Below are 14604 nucleotides of genomic sequence, written 5' to 3' on the forward strand. Positions count from 1 at the left end.
AATATCTAGAAGAAATGGATACATTCCTCGACACATACACTCTCCCAAGACTAAACCAGGAAGAAGTTGAATCTCTGAATAGACCAATAACAGGATCTGAAATTGTGGCAATAATCAATAGCTTACCAACCAAAAAGAGTCCAGGACCAGATGGATTCACAGCTGAATTCTACCAGAGGTACAAGGAGGAACTGGTACCATTCCTTCTGAAACTATTCCAATCAATAGAAAAAGAGGGAATCCTCCCTAACTCATTTTATGAGGCCAGCATCATTCTGATACCAAAGCCGGGCAGAGACACAACCAAAAAAGAGAATTTTAGACCAATATCCTTGATGAACATTGATGCAAAAATCCTCAATAAAATACTGGCAAACCGAATCCAGCATCACATCAAAAAGCTTATCCACCATGATCAAGTGGGCTTCATCCCTGGGATGCAAGGCTGGTTCAATATACGCAAATCAATAAATGTCATCCAGCATATAAACAGAGCCAAAGACAAAAACCACATGATTATCTCAATAGATGCAGAAAAAGCCTTTGACAAAATTCAACAACCCTTCATGCTAAAAACTCTCAATAAATTAGGTATTGATGGGACGTATCTCAAAATAATAAGAGCTATCTATGACAAACCCACAGCCAATATCATACTGAATGGGCAAAAACTGGAAGCATTCCCTTTGAAAACTGGCACAAGACAGGGATGCCCTCTCTCACCACTCCTATTCAACATAGTGTTGGAAGTTCTGGCCAGGGCAATGAGGCAGGAGAAGGAAATAAAGGGTATTCAAGTAGGAAAAGAGGAAGTCAAATTGTCCCTGTTTGCAGACGACATGATTGTATATCTAGAAAACCCCATTGTCTCAGCCCAAAATCTCCTTAAGCTGATAAGCAACTTCAGCAAAGTCTCAGGATACAAAATCAATGTACAAAAATCACAAGCATTCTTATACACCAACAACAGACAAACAGAGAGCCAAATCATGAGTGAACTCCCATTCACAATTGCTTCAAAGAGAATAAAATACCTAGGAACCCAACTTAGAAGGGATGTGAAGGACCTCTTGAAGGAGAACTACAAACCACTGCTCAAGGAAATAAAAGAGGATACAAACAAATGGAAGAACATTCCATGCTCATGGGTAGGAAGAATCAATATCGTGAAAATGGCCATACTACCCAAGGTAATTTATAGATTCAATGCCATCCCCATCAAGCTACCAATGCCTTTCTTCACAGAATTGGAAAAAACTACTTTAAAGTTCATATGGAACCAAAAAAGAGCCCGCATCGCCAAGTCAATCCTAAGCCAAAAGAACAAAGCTGGAGGCATCACACTACCTGACTTCAAACTATACTACAAGGCTACAGTGACCAAAACAGCATGGTACTGGTACCAAAACAGAGATATAGATCAATGGAACAGAACAGAACCCTCAGAAATAACGCCACATATCTACAACTATCTGATCTTTGACAAACCTGACAAAAACAAGCAATGGGGAAAGGATTCCCTATTTAATAAATGGTGCTGGGAAAACTGGCTAGCCATATGTAGAAAGTTGAAACTGGATCCCTTCCTTACACCTTATGCAAAAATCAATTCAAGATGGATTAAAGACTTAAACGTTCGACCTAAAACCATAAAAACCCTAGAAGAAAACCTAGGCATTACCATTCAGGACATAGGCATGGGCAAGGACTTCATGTCTAAAACACCAAAAGCAATGGCAACAAAAGACAAAATTGACAAATGGGATCTAATTAAACTAAAGAGCTTCGGCACAGCAAAAGAAACTACCATCAGAGTGAACAGGCAACCTACAGAATGGGAGAAAATTTTCGCAACCTACTCATCTGACAAAGGGCTAATATCCAGAATCTACAAAGAACTCAAACAAATGTACAAGAAAAAAAAAAACAACCCCAACAAAAAGTGGGTGAAGGACATGAACAGACACTTCTCAAAAGAAGACATTTATGCAGCCAAAAAACACATGAAAAAATGCTCACCATCACTGGCCATCAGAGAAATGCAAATCAAAACCACAATGAGATACCATCTCACACCAGTTAGAATGGCGATCATTAAAAAGTCAGGAAACAACAGGTGCTGGAGAGGATGTGGAGAAATAGGAACACTTTTACACTGTTGGTGGGACTGTAAACTAGTTCAACCATTGTAGAAGTCAGTGTGGCGATTCCTCAGGGATCTAGAACTAGAAATACCATTTGACCCAGCCATCCCATTACTGGGTATATACCCAAAGGACTATAAATCATGCTGCTATAAAGACACATGCCCACATTTGTTTATTGCGGCATTATTCACAATAGCAAAGACTTGGAACCAACCCAAATGTCCAACAATGATAGACTGGATTAAGAAAATGTGGCACATATACACCATGGAATACTATGCAGCCATAAAAAATGATGAGTTCATGTCCTTTGTAGGGACATGGATGAAATTGGAAATCATCATTCTCAGTAAACTATCGCAAGAACAAAAAACCAAACACCGCATATTCTTACTCATAGGTGGGAATTGAACAATGAGATCACATGGACACAGGAAGGGGAATATCACACTCTGGGGACTGTCGTGGGGTGGGGGGAGGGGGGAGGGATAGCATTGGGAGATATACCTAATGCTAGATGACGAGTTAGTGGGTGCAGCGCACCAGCATGGCACATGTATACATATGTAACTAACCTGCACAATGTGCACAGGTACCCTAAAACTTAAAGTATAATAAAAAAAATTAAATACTAAACAAATTAATATCAAAATAAAATAACCGAGCTCAAAAAGATATCCCATAATGCAAAGAAGAAGAGATTGAAATGAGGAAATTGATGATATTCAATGTGAAAAGCAAGAATTTTAAGAAATATATAATATGAACTCGAGATGGAGAGAGTAGAGCACAAAGGAAGAAAAGCAATAATTAAAGTTTTACAGGAAAGCTATATAAATTTAAAGTCCATATTTTATATAATACATTTTTTCAGTTATTTTCCTTAATTCTGAGGATTTGGCAAACCTAAGGAGGTCTGTAGCCTCTGTTATATATTCATAAGGTAGAAAGAAGTTAGAGGAAAGGGAGAGAAGCAAGGGAAAAATAAAAGAGCTAAAGGCAAGGAGAAAACAAAGATAAAAATTTATCAGGAGTAACTGCTTTTTGTTAGAGAAACAAAAAATGATCTAAAATGCTTACCATTAAGTTTTGTGATAAATGCAATAAAACATGTTCTTTTATATTCCAGAGAATGTTCAGTAAAGTTCAGTAAAGATTTGCATCACTGGTTCATGTAAAAAAAAAAAAAAAAAAGAAGCTCACTCAAAACCACACAACTACATGGAATTGAACAACCTGCTCCTGAATGACTAGTGGGTAAATAATGAAATTAAGGCGGAAATAAATAAGTTCTTTGAAACCAATGAGAACAAAGACACAATGACCAGAATCTCTGGGACACATTTAAAGGAGTGTTTAGAGGGAAATTTATAGCACTAAATGCCCACAAGAGAAAGCAGGAAAGATCTACAACCAACACCCTAACATCACAATTAAAAGAACTAGAGAAGCAAGAGCAAATAAATTCAAAAGCTAGCAGAAGACAAGAAATAGCTAAGATCCGAGTGGAACTGAAGGAGATAGAGACATGAAAAACCCTTTAAAACATCAATGAATCCTGGAGCTGGTTTTTTGAAAAGATTAACAAAATAGATGGACCACTAGCTAGTGTAATAAAGAAGAAAAGAGAGAAGAATCAAATAGACATGATAAAAATGACAAAGGGGATATTACCACTGATCCCACAGAAATACAAACTACCATCTGAGAATACTATAAACACATCTACACAAATAAACTAGAAAATCTAGAAGAAATGGATAAAGTCCTGGACACATACACCCTCCTAAGACTAAAGCAGGAAGAAGTCGAATCCCTGAATAGACCAATAACAAGTTCTGAAATTGAGGCAGTAATTAATAGCCCACCAACCAAAAAAAGCCCAGGACCAGACAGATTCACAGCGGAATTCTACTAGGATTACAAAGAGGAGTTGGTACCATTCCTTCTGAAACTATTCTAAACAATATAAAAAGGACTCCTCCCTACTCATTTTATGAGGCCACCATCAAACTGATACCAAAACCTGGCAGAGACACAACAAAAAAAGAAAATTTCAGGCTGATATCCCTGATGAACATTGATGCAAAAATCCTCAATAAAATACTGGCAAACCGAATCCAGCAGCAAATCAGAAAGCTTATCCACCACAATCAAGTCAGTTTCATCCCTGGGATGCAAGGCTGTTTCAACTTACACGAATCAATAAACGTAATCCATCACATAGAACCAATGACAAAAACCACATGATTATCTTAATAGATGCAGAAAAGGCCTTCAATAAAATTCAATACTCTTCATGCCAAAAACTCAATAAACTAGGTAGTGATAGAACATATCTCAAAATAATAAAAGCTATTTATGACAAACCCATAGCCAATATCATACTGAATGGGCAAAAGCTGGAAGCATTCCCATTGAAAACCAGCACAAGACAAAGATGCCCTCTCTCACCACTCCTATTCAACATAGTATTGGAAGTTCTGGCCAGGGCAATCAGGCAAGATAGAGAAATAAAGGGTATTCAAATAGGAGAAGAGAAAGTGAAATTGTCCCTGTTTGCAGATGACATGATTGTATATTTAGAAAACTCCATCATCTCAGCCCAAAAACGCCTTAAGCTGATAAGCAGCTTCAGCAAAGTCTCAGGATACAAAATCAATGTGCAAAAATCACAATCATTCTTATACACGAATAGACAAGCAGAGAGCCAAATCATGAGTGTACTACCGTTCACAATTGCTACAAAACAAACAAACAAAAAAACCTAGGAATACATCTTATAAGGGACGTGAAGGACTTCTTCAAGGAGAACTACAAGCCATTGCTCAAGGAAATGAGAGGACAGAAACAAATGGAAAAACATTCCATGCTCATGGATAGGAAGAATCAATATCGTGAAAATGGCCATACTGCCCAACATAATTAATAGATTCAATGCTATTCCCATCCAGTTACTATTGACTTTCTTGACAGAATTATAATAAACTACTTTAAATTTCATATGGAACCAAAAAAGCTTGTATAGCCAAGACAATCCTAAGCAAAAAGAACACAGCTGGAGGCATCACGCTACCTGACTTCAAACTGTACTACAAGGCTTCAGTAACCAACACACCACGGTACTGGTACCAAAACAGATATATAGACCAATGGAACAGAACAGAGGCTTCGGAAACAACACCACACATCTACAACCATCTGATCTTCAACAAACCTGACAGAAACAAGCAATGGGGAAAGGATTCCCTATTTAATAAATAATGCTGGGAAAACTGGCTAACCATATGCAGAAAACAGAAACTGGACCCCTTCCTTACACTTTATACAAAAATTAACTCAAGATGGATTACAGACTTAAACATAAAACCTAAAACCATAAAGCCCTAGAAGAAAACCTAGGCAATACTATTCAGGGCATAGGCATGGGCAAAGACTTCATGACTAAAACACAAAAAGCAATTGCAACTAAAGCCAAAATTGACAAATGGGATCTAATTAAACTAAAGAGTTTCTGCACAGGAAAAGAAACTATCATCAGAGTGACCAGACAACCTACAGAATGGGAGAAAATTTCTGCAATCTATCCATCTGACAAAAGTCTAATATCCAGAATCTACAAGGAATTTAAACAAATTTACAAGAAAAAACAACCCAATCAAAAGTGGGTGAAGGATATGAACAGGCACCTCTCAAAAGAAGATATTTATGTGGCTGACAAACCTATGAAAAAAAGCTCATCACCACTGGTCATCAGAGAAATGCAAATCAAAACTGCAATGAGATACCATCTCACTCCAGTTAGAATGGCAGTCATTAAAAAGTCAGCAAGCAACGGATACTGGAGAGGATGTGGAGAAACAGGAATGCTTTTACACTGTTGGTGGGAGTGTAAATTAGTTCAACTATTGTGGAAGACAGTGTGGCGATTCCTCAAGCCTCTAGAACCAGAAATATAATTTGACCCAGCAATCCCATTAGTGGGTATATACCCAAAGGATTATAAATCATTCTACTATAAAGACACATGCACACGTATGTTTACTGCAGCGCTATTCACAATAGCAAAGACTTTGAACCAACCCAAATGCCCATCAATGATAGACTGGATAAAGAAAATGTGGCACATATACACCAAGAAAATATTATGCAGCCATAAAAAAGAATGAGTTCATGTCCTTTGCAGGGACATGAATGAAGCTGGAAACCATCATTCTCAGCAAACTAACACAGGAACAGAAAACCAAACACTGCATGTTCTCACTCATAAGTGGGAGTCGAACAACGAGAACACATGGACACAGGGAGGGGAACATCACACACCAGGGCCTGCCGGGGTTGGGGGCAAGGGGAGGGAGAGCATTAGGACAGATACCTAATCCATGCGGGGCTTAAAACTTAGATGACGAGTTGATAGGTGCAGCAAACGACCATGGCACAATTATCCCTATGTAACAAACCTGCACGCTCTGCACATTTATCCCAGAATCTAAAGTTAAAAAAAATCTTCCCTTGAATCACATCTGCATTTACACACATCATCCTCTGGTAAAATGACAGATATATGACCTGATTTTTCTGGTAAGAACTAATGAGAACATTTTATATTTGCCTCATCCTTAACAATTTACAGAGGTATATAACATTCATCTTTTCATGCCCAGTTGTACAATTTCATGGCTCTGAAGCACTTAGATTTAAATCATCTCTTATTTTCAGAAAAACAAAATAAGCCAGCAAAATGATGAAAATAAAATCAGCTAGCTAGAATCTCCTAATATATGTACAAAACCAATCATTTTCTTTGTTACCTTTTAAGCTCCTGGCTGCAATGCTGTCCAAGAAAGCCTCAGTTTGCTCTTCTATGTTCTGTTAGGATATAAAGCCAAGAAAAGAAACAAGGTCGAGTCTTCACTTAACATGGGCTTATGCTACTTTTCTCTGCATTAAGGAGGTCATAAAAACCCCACCAAAATTATAAATGAAAGTTCATTGATTGAAATGATTATTTTAGTAACAATGATACACAAAGAAAACTAGTTGCTGTTTATTTATTTTTGTTCAACCAATGCTTTAAGGGGCCAGGCATGGTGGCTCACACCTGTAATTCTGGCACTTTGGGAGGCTGAGGAGAGAGAATTGCATGAGGCCAGGAATTTCAGACCAGCGTGGGCAACATAGTGAGACTCCATCTCTACAAAAAAAAAAAAAAAAAACAAAGGTCAGGCATGGTGGCACGTGCCTGTAGTCCCAGTTACTCAGGAGGTTGAGGTGGGAGAATTGCTTGAGTCCAGGAGGCTGAATCAACAGTGAGCCATGATTTTGCCACCATAAGCCAGCCTGGGTGACAGAGTAAGACACTGTCTTAAAAAAATGTTTTATGGTTTCTGTAATTTTTTTGAGACAGGGTCTCACTACATGATCCAGGCTGGAGTACAGTGGCTATAAACATGCAGAATCATGGCATGCAACAACCTTGAACTCTTGGGCTCAACTGATCTTCTTGCTTCAGTTTCTGGAATAGTGAGAACTTTTAAGCATGTGCCACTGTGACTGGCTTTTGTAATTTTCCCCCACTTGAAAAATGGTCAAACATTACACAAGTGTCTTAAACTGGGTCAAGCATGATTGAACTACCCTTTCCCTTACAATCTCTACAATTGCTATAGCTTGTCATTGTTGGATTTATTTTTAGATTCCCAGAAATGGACTCTTACCATGAGTGAAATCACATGATTGAACTGGAAGGTTCCTGTCACATTTCCAGGGTAGACAGCGACCATGCATGGCTTTTCATGGAATTCTGGGAAGGAAGAATATAATTAATTCTGTTTGGTGTATTGGTGAGTTAATGACTTTATATCACTACCATATTAGTTGCAAATCATTCAAGTGATGACAAGATAGACATCTGTGAACTTTATTTTAAAAATTCAAATATTTGCTTGATTTAACTACTTAAAAGTTGTTGTACAATTGCCCAGCAATAGACATATTTTACAAAAATTGAGATGAAAATGTTGCAAGTACAACAGCAATTAACAATGTACTCTTATGTAAGAAAATGACAAAACTTTTAACTTATAAATTAATCTTTTATAGTGTCACAGGTGTATTTAATTCATAAAAATTGTTTATCTTAGACTCCTTTAAATAATAAACAACCATTTGTGATTAAATGTTAAGGTACCAATCATTTACATAAGATTAGGAGTGGAAAGCTTTACAAGTGTTGTGAACAACAGCCATATTAACATCAACTAGAAAGTAAGCCAAAGCATCTCTAAGTTTACCTCTAGTTATTAGGCAATAACATTCAATTTCTAAAACCTAACAAATACAGCTTTTAAAGGATTTAAATGCATCCTTTTACTTACAGTTATTGAATAGAATTAGCAATTGGGCCGCTCCTGAAAATGAGAGCTCCAGGGACTTAAACTGTAAAATTATTTCCTCCCTTTATTAACACAGATAATTATGACCTTTACTTAACTATTGTGAGGCAATTAAGCAACTCAATATATTTCACTAAATAAACTGCAAGAATTACATCAGAAATCTGAAAGCTAAAGAAAAAAAGATTATATAGCTAACCTTAAACAAGTAGTCATCTACACTGTTATTTGAAGTTCATGAGCATGAGGTAGGGATCCTTAGATTTTCTCTTGGAATATGATTTCTGTTGAGATCTAAACCATTATTAACATTTCACATACAAGGTGACTCTAGAACTGGCCTTGTACTATGAGCAGTGGATAAAGATCTGGTCTTCTCTCTCTACATCAGAGGCTTGGTTGCCTCTACTACCCTCTCATGAGTTCTGTGAAGAGTACGAGAGACGAATGCTTAGTATTTCATTTTTTTTTCCTAAATAATTCCTCCATAATTTGCATTTTTGATGACATTCCCAGCAACAGTGTTTTAACTATGAAAATAGGTCAGAGCATGACTACTGTATGCAATTATAGTTTTGAAGTTGTCCTAAAGAATTATATATACTTCTAGGGGGATTTCTAACAAATAAGTAATTCAAAAAAGTAGGGAGTGGGGAGAAATGACTATCAATGATATATGGCTTAACAGATAACACTTGCTGCCTCCTGGTTCTGAGAATGCCATTAGAAATACTGATATATAAAGAAGAACTATGTGAGATGATGAATATGTTAATTTGCTTGACTATAACCACTTCACTGTGTATAAATGTATCAAAATATCATGTTGTATTCCTTAAATATATGCAATAAAATAAATTAAATGAAAATAAGCTAGAGATATTTGTATTTAGTAAACCAGTGTAGAGATTTAAAAAAAATCCCTCAAAGACATTTTCAAGCATTTGCTTTTACCATGTTTGTACATTTCACTCATTATGTGGGAAAAATTAAGCATTTGGCACTGAGGTATAATTCAGAGCAACGCCTCCGAGGGGAGGATGATATAGTGGAGCTGGTGACCAAAGAGATCTAAAGCAGCTCCAAACTCAATTAGCTCCTAACATTGTGAGCCAGCTATTGGAGGTGGGGCCTGCCCATTCTGGCTTCCATACGTCCCCTCAGGCTGACTGAGGTGTTATTTTTAACCATTTGTGAATTATACTTCCCTTTACTCCTGTATTAATCATTCCCTATTTCACAAGTATATCTTTATGTAGAACGGCAAAACTAGACAGGCTATTTTTGTCTCCAGGTGCCCTCTTGTGATAATACCAAAGATCACAATCAAGGAAAATCTAGAAGACCTGATCAGAGGAATCACAGATAATGAGATTGAACCAGTAATAAGTTCACAAAAAAAGAAAGACCCCAAACCAGATAACTTTACTGATGAATTCTACTAATCATTTACAGGAAAACTAACACCAATTCTTCTCAAACCACTTCAAAATCTTCCTAGTTTGTTCTATAAGGTCAGCATTATCCTGATATCAAGACTAGAAAGGGGATGACAACAACAAACTACAGGCCAATAACCCTGATGAACGCAAATGCAAAAACTCTCCACAAAATACTAGCAAACTGAATCCAGTAACACCACAAAAAGTTAACACCCCAGGATAAAGTAGGACTTCTCCCTGGGATGCAAGGATGGTTCAACATATGTAAATCAATAAACATCATACATCTCATCAACAGAATGAAGGGAAAAACACATACAACTATCTCAACAGATGCAGAAAAGCATCTGATAAGATTCATGAGAAAAACTCTCAACAAATCAAGCACACGAGGAACATCCCTCAACATAATAAAGGTCACATAAGCAAAGCCACAGCTAACATCATACTGAATAGCGAAAAGCGGAAAGCCTTTCCTCTAAGAACTGGAACAAGACAAAGATACTCACTCTCACCATTTGTATTCAACACAGTACTAGAATTCCTAGCCAGAGCAAGTGGCTGAGAAAAAGAAATAAAGGGCATCCATTGGAAAAAGAAGTCAAATGGTCTCTCTTTGTAGATGACCTTATCTTAAAGAAAGAAAAACCTGGGAGGGGGAGGGACAGCATTAGGAGATATACCTAATGTTAAATGACAAGTTAATGGGTGCAGCACACCAACATGGCACATGTATACATATGTAACTAACCTGCACGTTGTGCACATGTACCCTAAAACTTAATGTATAATAAAAAAAGAAAAGAAAAAAAAAAGAAAAGAAAAACCTAAAGACTCTACCAAAAAAGTCTTAGAACTGATATACAAATTTAGTAAAGTTGCAGGATACCAAATCAGCATACAAAAATCAGTAGTGCTTCTATACATCAAATGAACTAGCTGGAAAATGATCAAGAAAGCAATCCCACTTATAATACCTACAAAAAGATTAAATAGGAATAAATAAGGTAAAAGATCTCTATGAGGAATACTAAACAGTACTAATGAAAGAAACTGAAGAAGATACAAACAAATGGACAGACATCCCATGGTCATGAATTGGAAAAAAAAATCATACTGTTAAAATAACCATACTATCCAAAGCAATCTACAGATTCAATGTAATCCTTATCAAAATACCATTGTTTTTCAAAGAAATTGAAAAAGCAATCTTAAAATTTGTATGGAACTGAAAGAAGATCCCGAACAGCCAAATCACTCCTGAGCAAAAAGAACAAAGCTGGAGAAATTGCACTACTTGACTTCAAAATATATTAAGAGGCTATAGTATCCAAAATAACATAGTGTTGATATGAAGACAGGTACGTCAGTGAAACAGATCTGAAAACTGAGAAATAAATCCATGTATTTACAGCCAACTGATTGTCAACAAAGGTGCCAGGAAGATACACCGGGGAAATAACACCGTTTTCAATAAATGATGCTGGGAAAACTGGATATCCATAGGCAGAAGAATGAACCTGGGTCCCTTCCTCTCATTATATACAAAATGCACTCAGAATGGATTAAAGACTTAAACATAAAACCCAACATTATAAAATTACTGGAAGAATACCTAGGAGAAATGCTTCAGGACATTGGTCTAGGTAATGATTTTATGGTTATGATTCAAAAGTACAGCCCAAATCCTCAAAATAGACCATTGAGACTACGGTGAAATAAAAACCTGCTGCAAACAAAGGAAACAGCCAACAGAGTAAAGAGGCAATCTGCAGAATGGGTGAAAGTATTCGCAAACAATTCATGTGACTAGGGACTAATATCTGGAATACACAAGGATCTGAAACAACAATTTTAAAAAGTCCAATTAATGGTACTAAGGATCTGAAGAGATATTTGTCCAAAGAACATGTACAAATCGACAAGAAAGTAGATAAAAAATATCAGTGAGATATCTGTGAGACTGTGAGAAAAGTGAAAAGCAATGTAAAATTAAGGGATAAGTGTCTTGCACAGACTAGACAGGTGCTGAAGCATATGGCCAGTGACAGAACAGTGAGGGAAAGTTTCATGAAAAAGGGAAAATTGGGCTCCAGGTCTGAAAGAACGAGGCTAGATAAACAGAAGCTGAAAAGTCAGGAAGGACAGCATGGGTAATGCAAAGAGATGGTGAAATCAGCCCAATAACTTGAGGATAAAATCCAACAGCAGTGGGGAAAAAATAAACATATGTCCACACACAATAACATTCAACTGATGAATGGACAACTGGTATGTCCACACAATAGAATATTATTCAACCATAAAAAGAAATAAAGTACTCATGCATGGTATGACACAAATGAACCCTGAAAACATTCTAAGACGGTTTCAATACATGTTCCCTCCAAACGTCATGTTGAAATGTAGCTGTCAGTGTTGGAGGTGGGGCCTGATGGGAGGTGTGTGGATCATGGGGGAATGAATGGCGTAGCACCATCCCCTTAGTGGTGAGTGAATTCATGCGAGATCTGTTTGTTTAACTGTGTGTGGCACCTCCCCCTCTCTCTTGCTCCCCTTCTTGCCAGGTGACGTGCCTGCTCCCCTTCCCCCTCCACCATGCTAATAAGCTTCCTGGGGCCTCACCAGAAGCAGAACAGATTTTGTGGCCATGTGTGTACAGCCTGCAGTACCATGAGCCAGTTAAACCTCTTGTCTTTATAAAAGACCCTGCCTCAGTTATTCCATTATAGCAACCATCCCCAACCTTTTTGGCACAAGGGACTGGTTTCACGGAAGACAATTTTTCCATGGACCAAGGAGCAGAGGGATGGTTTCAAGATGTTTCATGCATATTACATTTATTGCACACTTTATTTCTATAATTATTATATTATAATATACAATTAAATAATTATACAACTCACCATAAAGTTGAATCAGTGGGAGCCCTGAGCTTCTTTTCCTGCAACTAGAGTGTCTCATCTGGGGGTGATAGGAGACAGTGACAGATCATCAGGCATTAGATTCTCAGAAGGAGTGTGCAACCTAGATTCCTTGCATGTGGGTAGTTCACAATAGGGTTCATGCCCCTATGAGAATCTACTGTCACAGCTGATCTGACAGGAGGTGATACTCAGGGGTAATGCAAGTGATGGGGAGCGGCTGTAAACACAGATGAAGCGCTGCTCACCTCCTGCTGTGTGGCCTGGTTCCTAACAGACCATGGATCAGTACTGGTCCTTGGCCTGGGAGTTGGGAATCCCTTCTTTGTAACACAAAAATGGCCTAATACACGTGCAAAGTGAAAGAAGTCAGTCATAAAAAGTTGCATTTTGTATGATGCTATTTGTATGAAATGGTCAGACAGGTATAACCTATGGAGACAAAAAGTAGAGGGTGGTTGCCTAGGACCAGGCAAGGTGGAAAGACTTGAGTAGGGGATGCAGCCAGTGATGGCTAAGTGAAATGGGGTTTCATTTCAGGGAGAAAAAAATGTTCTAAAATTAATTGTAGTGATGGTTACACAACTCTGTGAATATACTGAGACAGTGAATCATATACTTTAAATGGTTGAATGGTATGGTATGTGAATTATAGCTCCATAAAATTGTTTTAAAAAAATCCAATGGTGGGATCTACAAAATTTTCTTCTATCTTAATTATTTTCTTAATTCTTAATTTCTCTATTTTTCATGTACATACTATACATGATCTGAATATTTCTGTGCTTTTACAATATATTTAAAATAAAAGGAACATAAAGAAAACGCCTAACTTTTCAAATAGCTTGTAAATTAATCTAAAATATTAGCATTTTTGCCAAGAGGATAATGGCTTTTCTGTATAAGTTATCCTGACATCCGTTAAATAAATATACAATTATCCTATTTCTTGTCTTTACTTTTGTGAATGGATACAGTTGCGTATCTGAATGGATACAGACACTGTTGTGTCTGTATCCATTTATAAAAGTAAAGACAAGAAATATTATAATTTTTTTTTTTCTAGACAGAGTCTCGCTCTTGTTGCCCAGGCTGCATCTCGGCTCACCGCAACCTCCGCCTCCCAGGTTCAGGCGATTCTCCTGCCTCAGCCTCCCAAGTAGTTGGGATTACAGGCATGTGCCACCGCACTAGGCTAATTTTGTATTTTTAGTAGAGACAGGGTTTCTCTATGTTGGTCAGGCTGGTCTCGAACTCCCAACCTCAGGTGATCCACCTGCCTCAGCCTCCCAAAGTGCTGGGATTACAGGCGTGAGCCACCGCTCCCGGACTAGAAATATTATAGTTTTCTAGAACATTCTATTGAATGTTGAATTTGGTCTTCGAAAACGCTTTGTATTGTTTAACCAGCTGTAGATTAACTGTTGACGTGTTCAATTTTGTTTGTACATGACTTCTGATTTGCCCTCATTTCTTCTTTGACTCTTGTGTGCCCTCTTCTAAATGGATGTGACAATGGGATGTAACCTCTAGTGACGCCTCTGACATAGATTGTTTTTAAGGGTATCTGCCAATTCTTGTTGAAGTTGTCTTGCAACTACCTGATTTTTTTCTACCGATTTTATAAATCACCTTATTATTAAATTATGTTAACATTTAATTCTAACATATATACATAACAAATATATCACCATGT

General features: G+C 37.4%; 1 pseudogene across 1 annotated transcript in view; it reads right to left on the reverse strand.

Annotated features, from left to right (window-relative positions):
- ANKRD26P3 (ankyrin repeat domain 26 pseudogene 3) overlaps positions 1-14604 on the reverse strand; it is an 82174-nt pseudogene that overhangs the window by 13442 nt on the left and 54128 nt on the right. The window contains exons 15-17 of the transcript NR_027248.3: positions 12891-12948; positions 7865-7950; positions 6959-7016 (exon numbers count right to left, since the gene is read on the reverse strand). The product of NR_027248.3 is annotated as an ankyrin repeat domain 26 pseudogene 3 (transcript). The remainder of the gene's footprint in view (positions 1-6958; positions 7017-7864; positions 7951-12890; positions 12949-14604) is intronic.

Source organism: Homo sapiens, chromosome 13, assembly GCF_000001405.40.
Source record: "Homo sapiens chromosome 13, GRCh38.p14 Primary Assembly".
Taxonomy (NCBI): domain Eukaryota; kingdom Metazoa; phylum Chordata; class Mammalia; order Primates; family Hominidae; genus Homo; species Homo sapiens.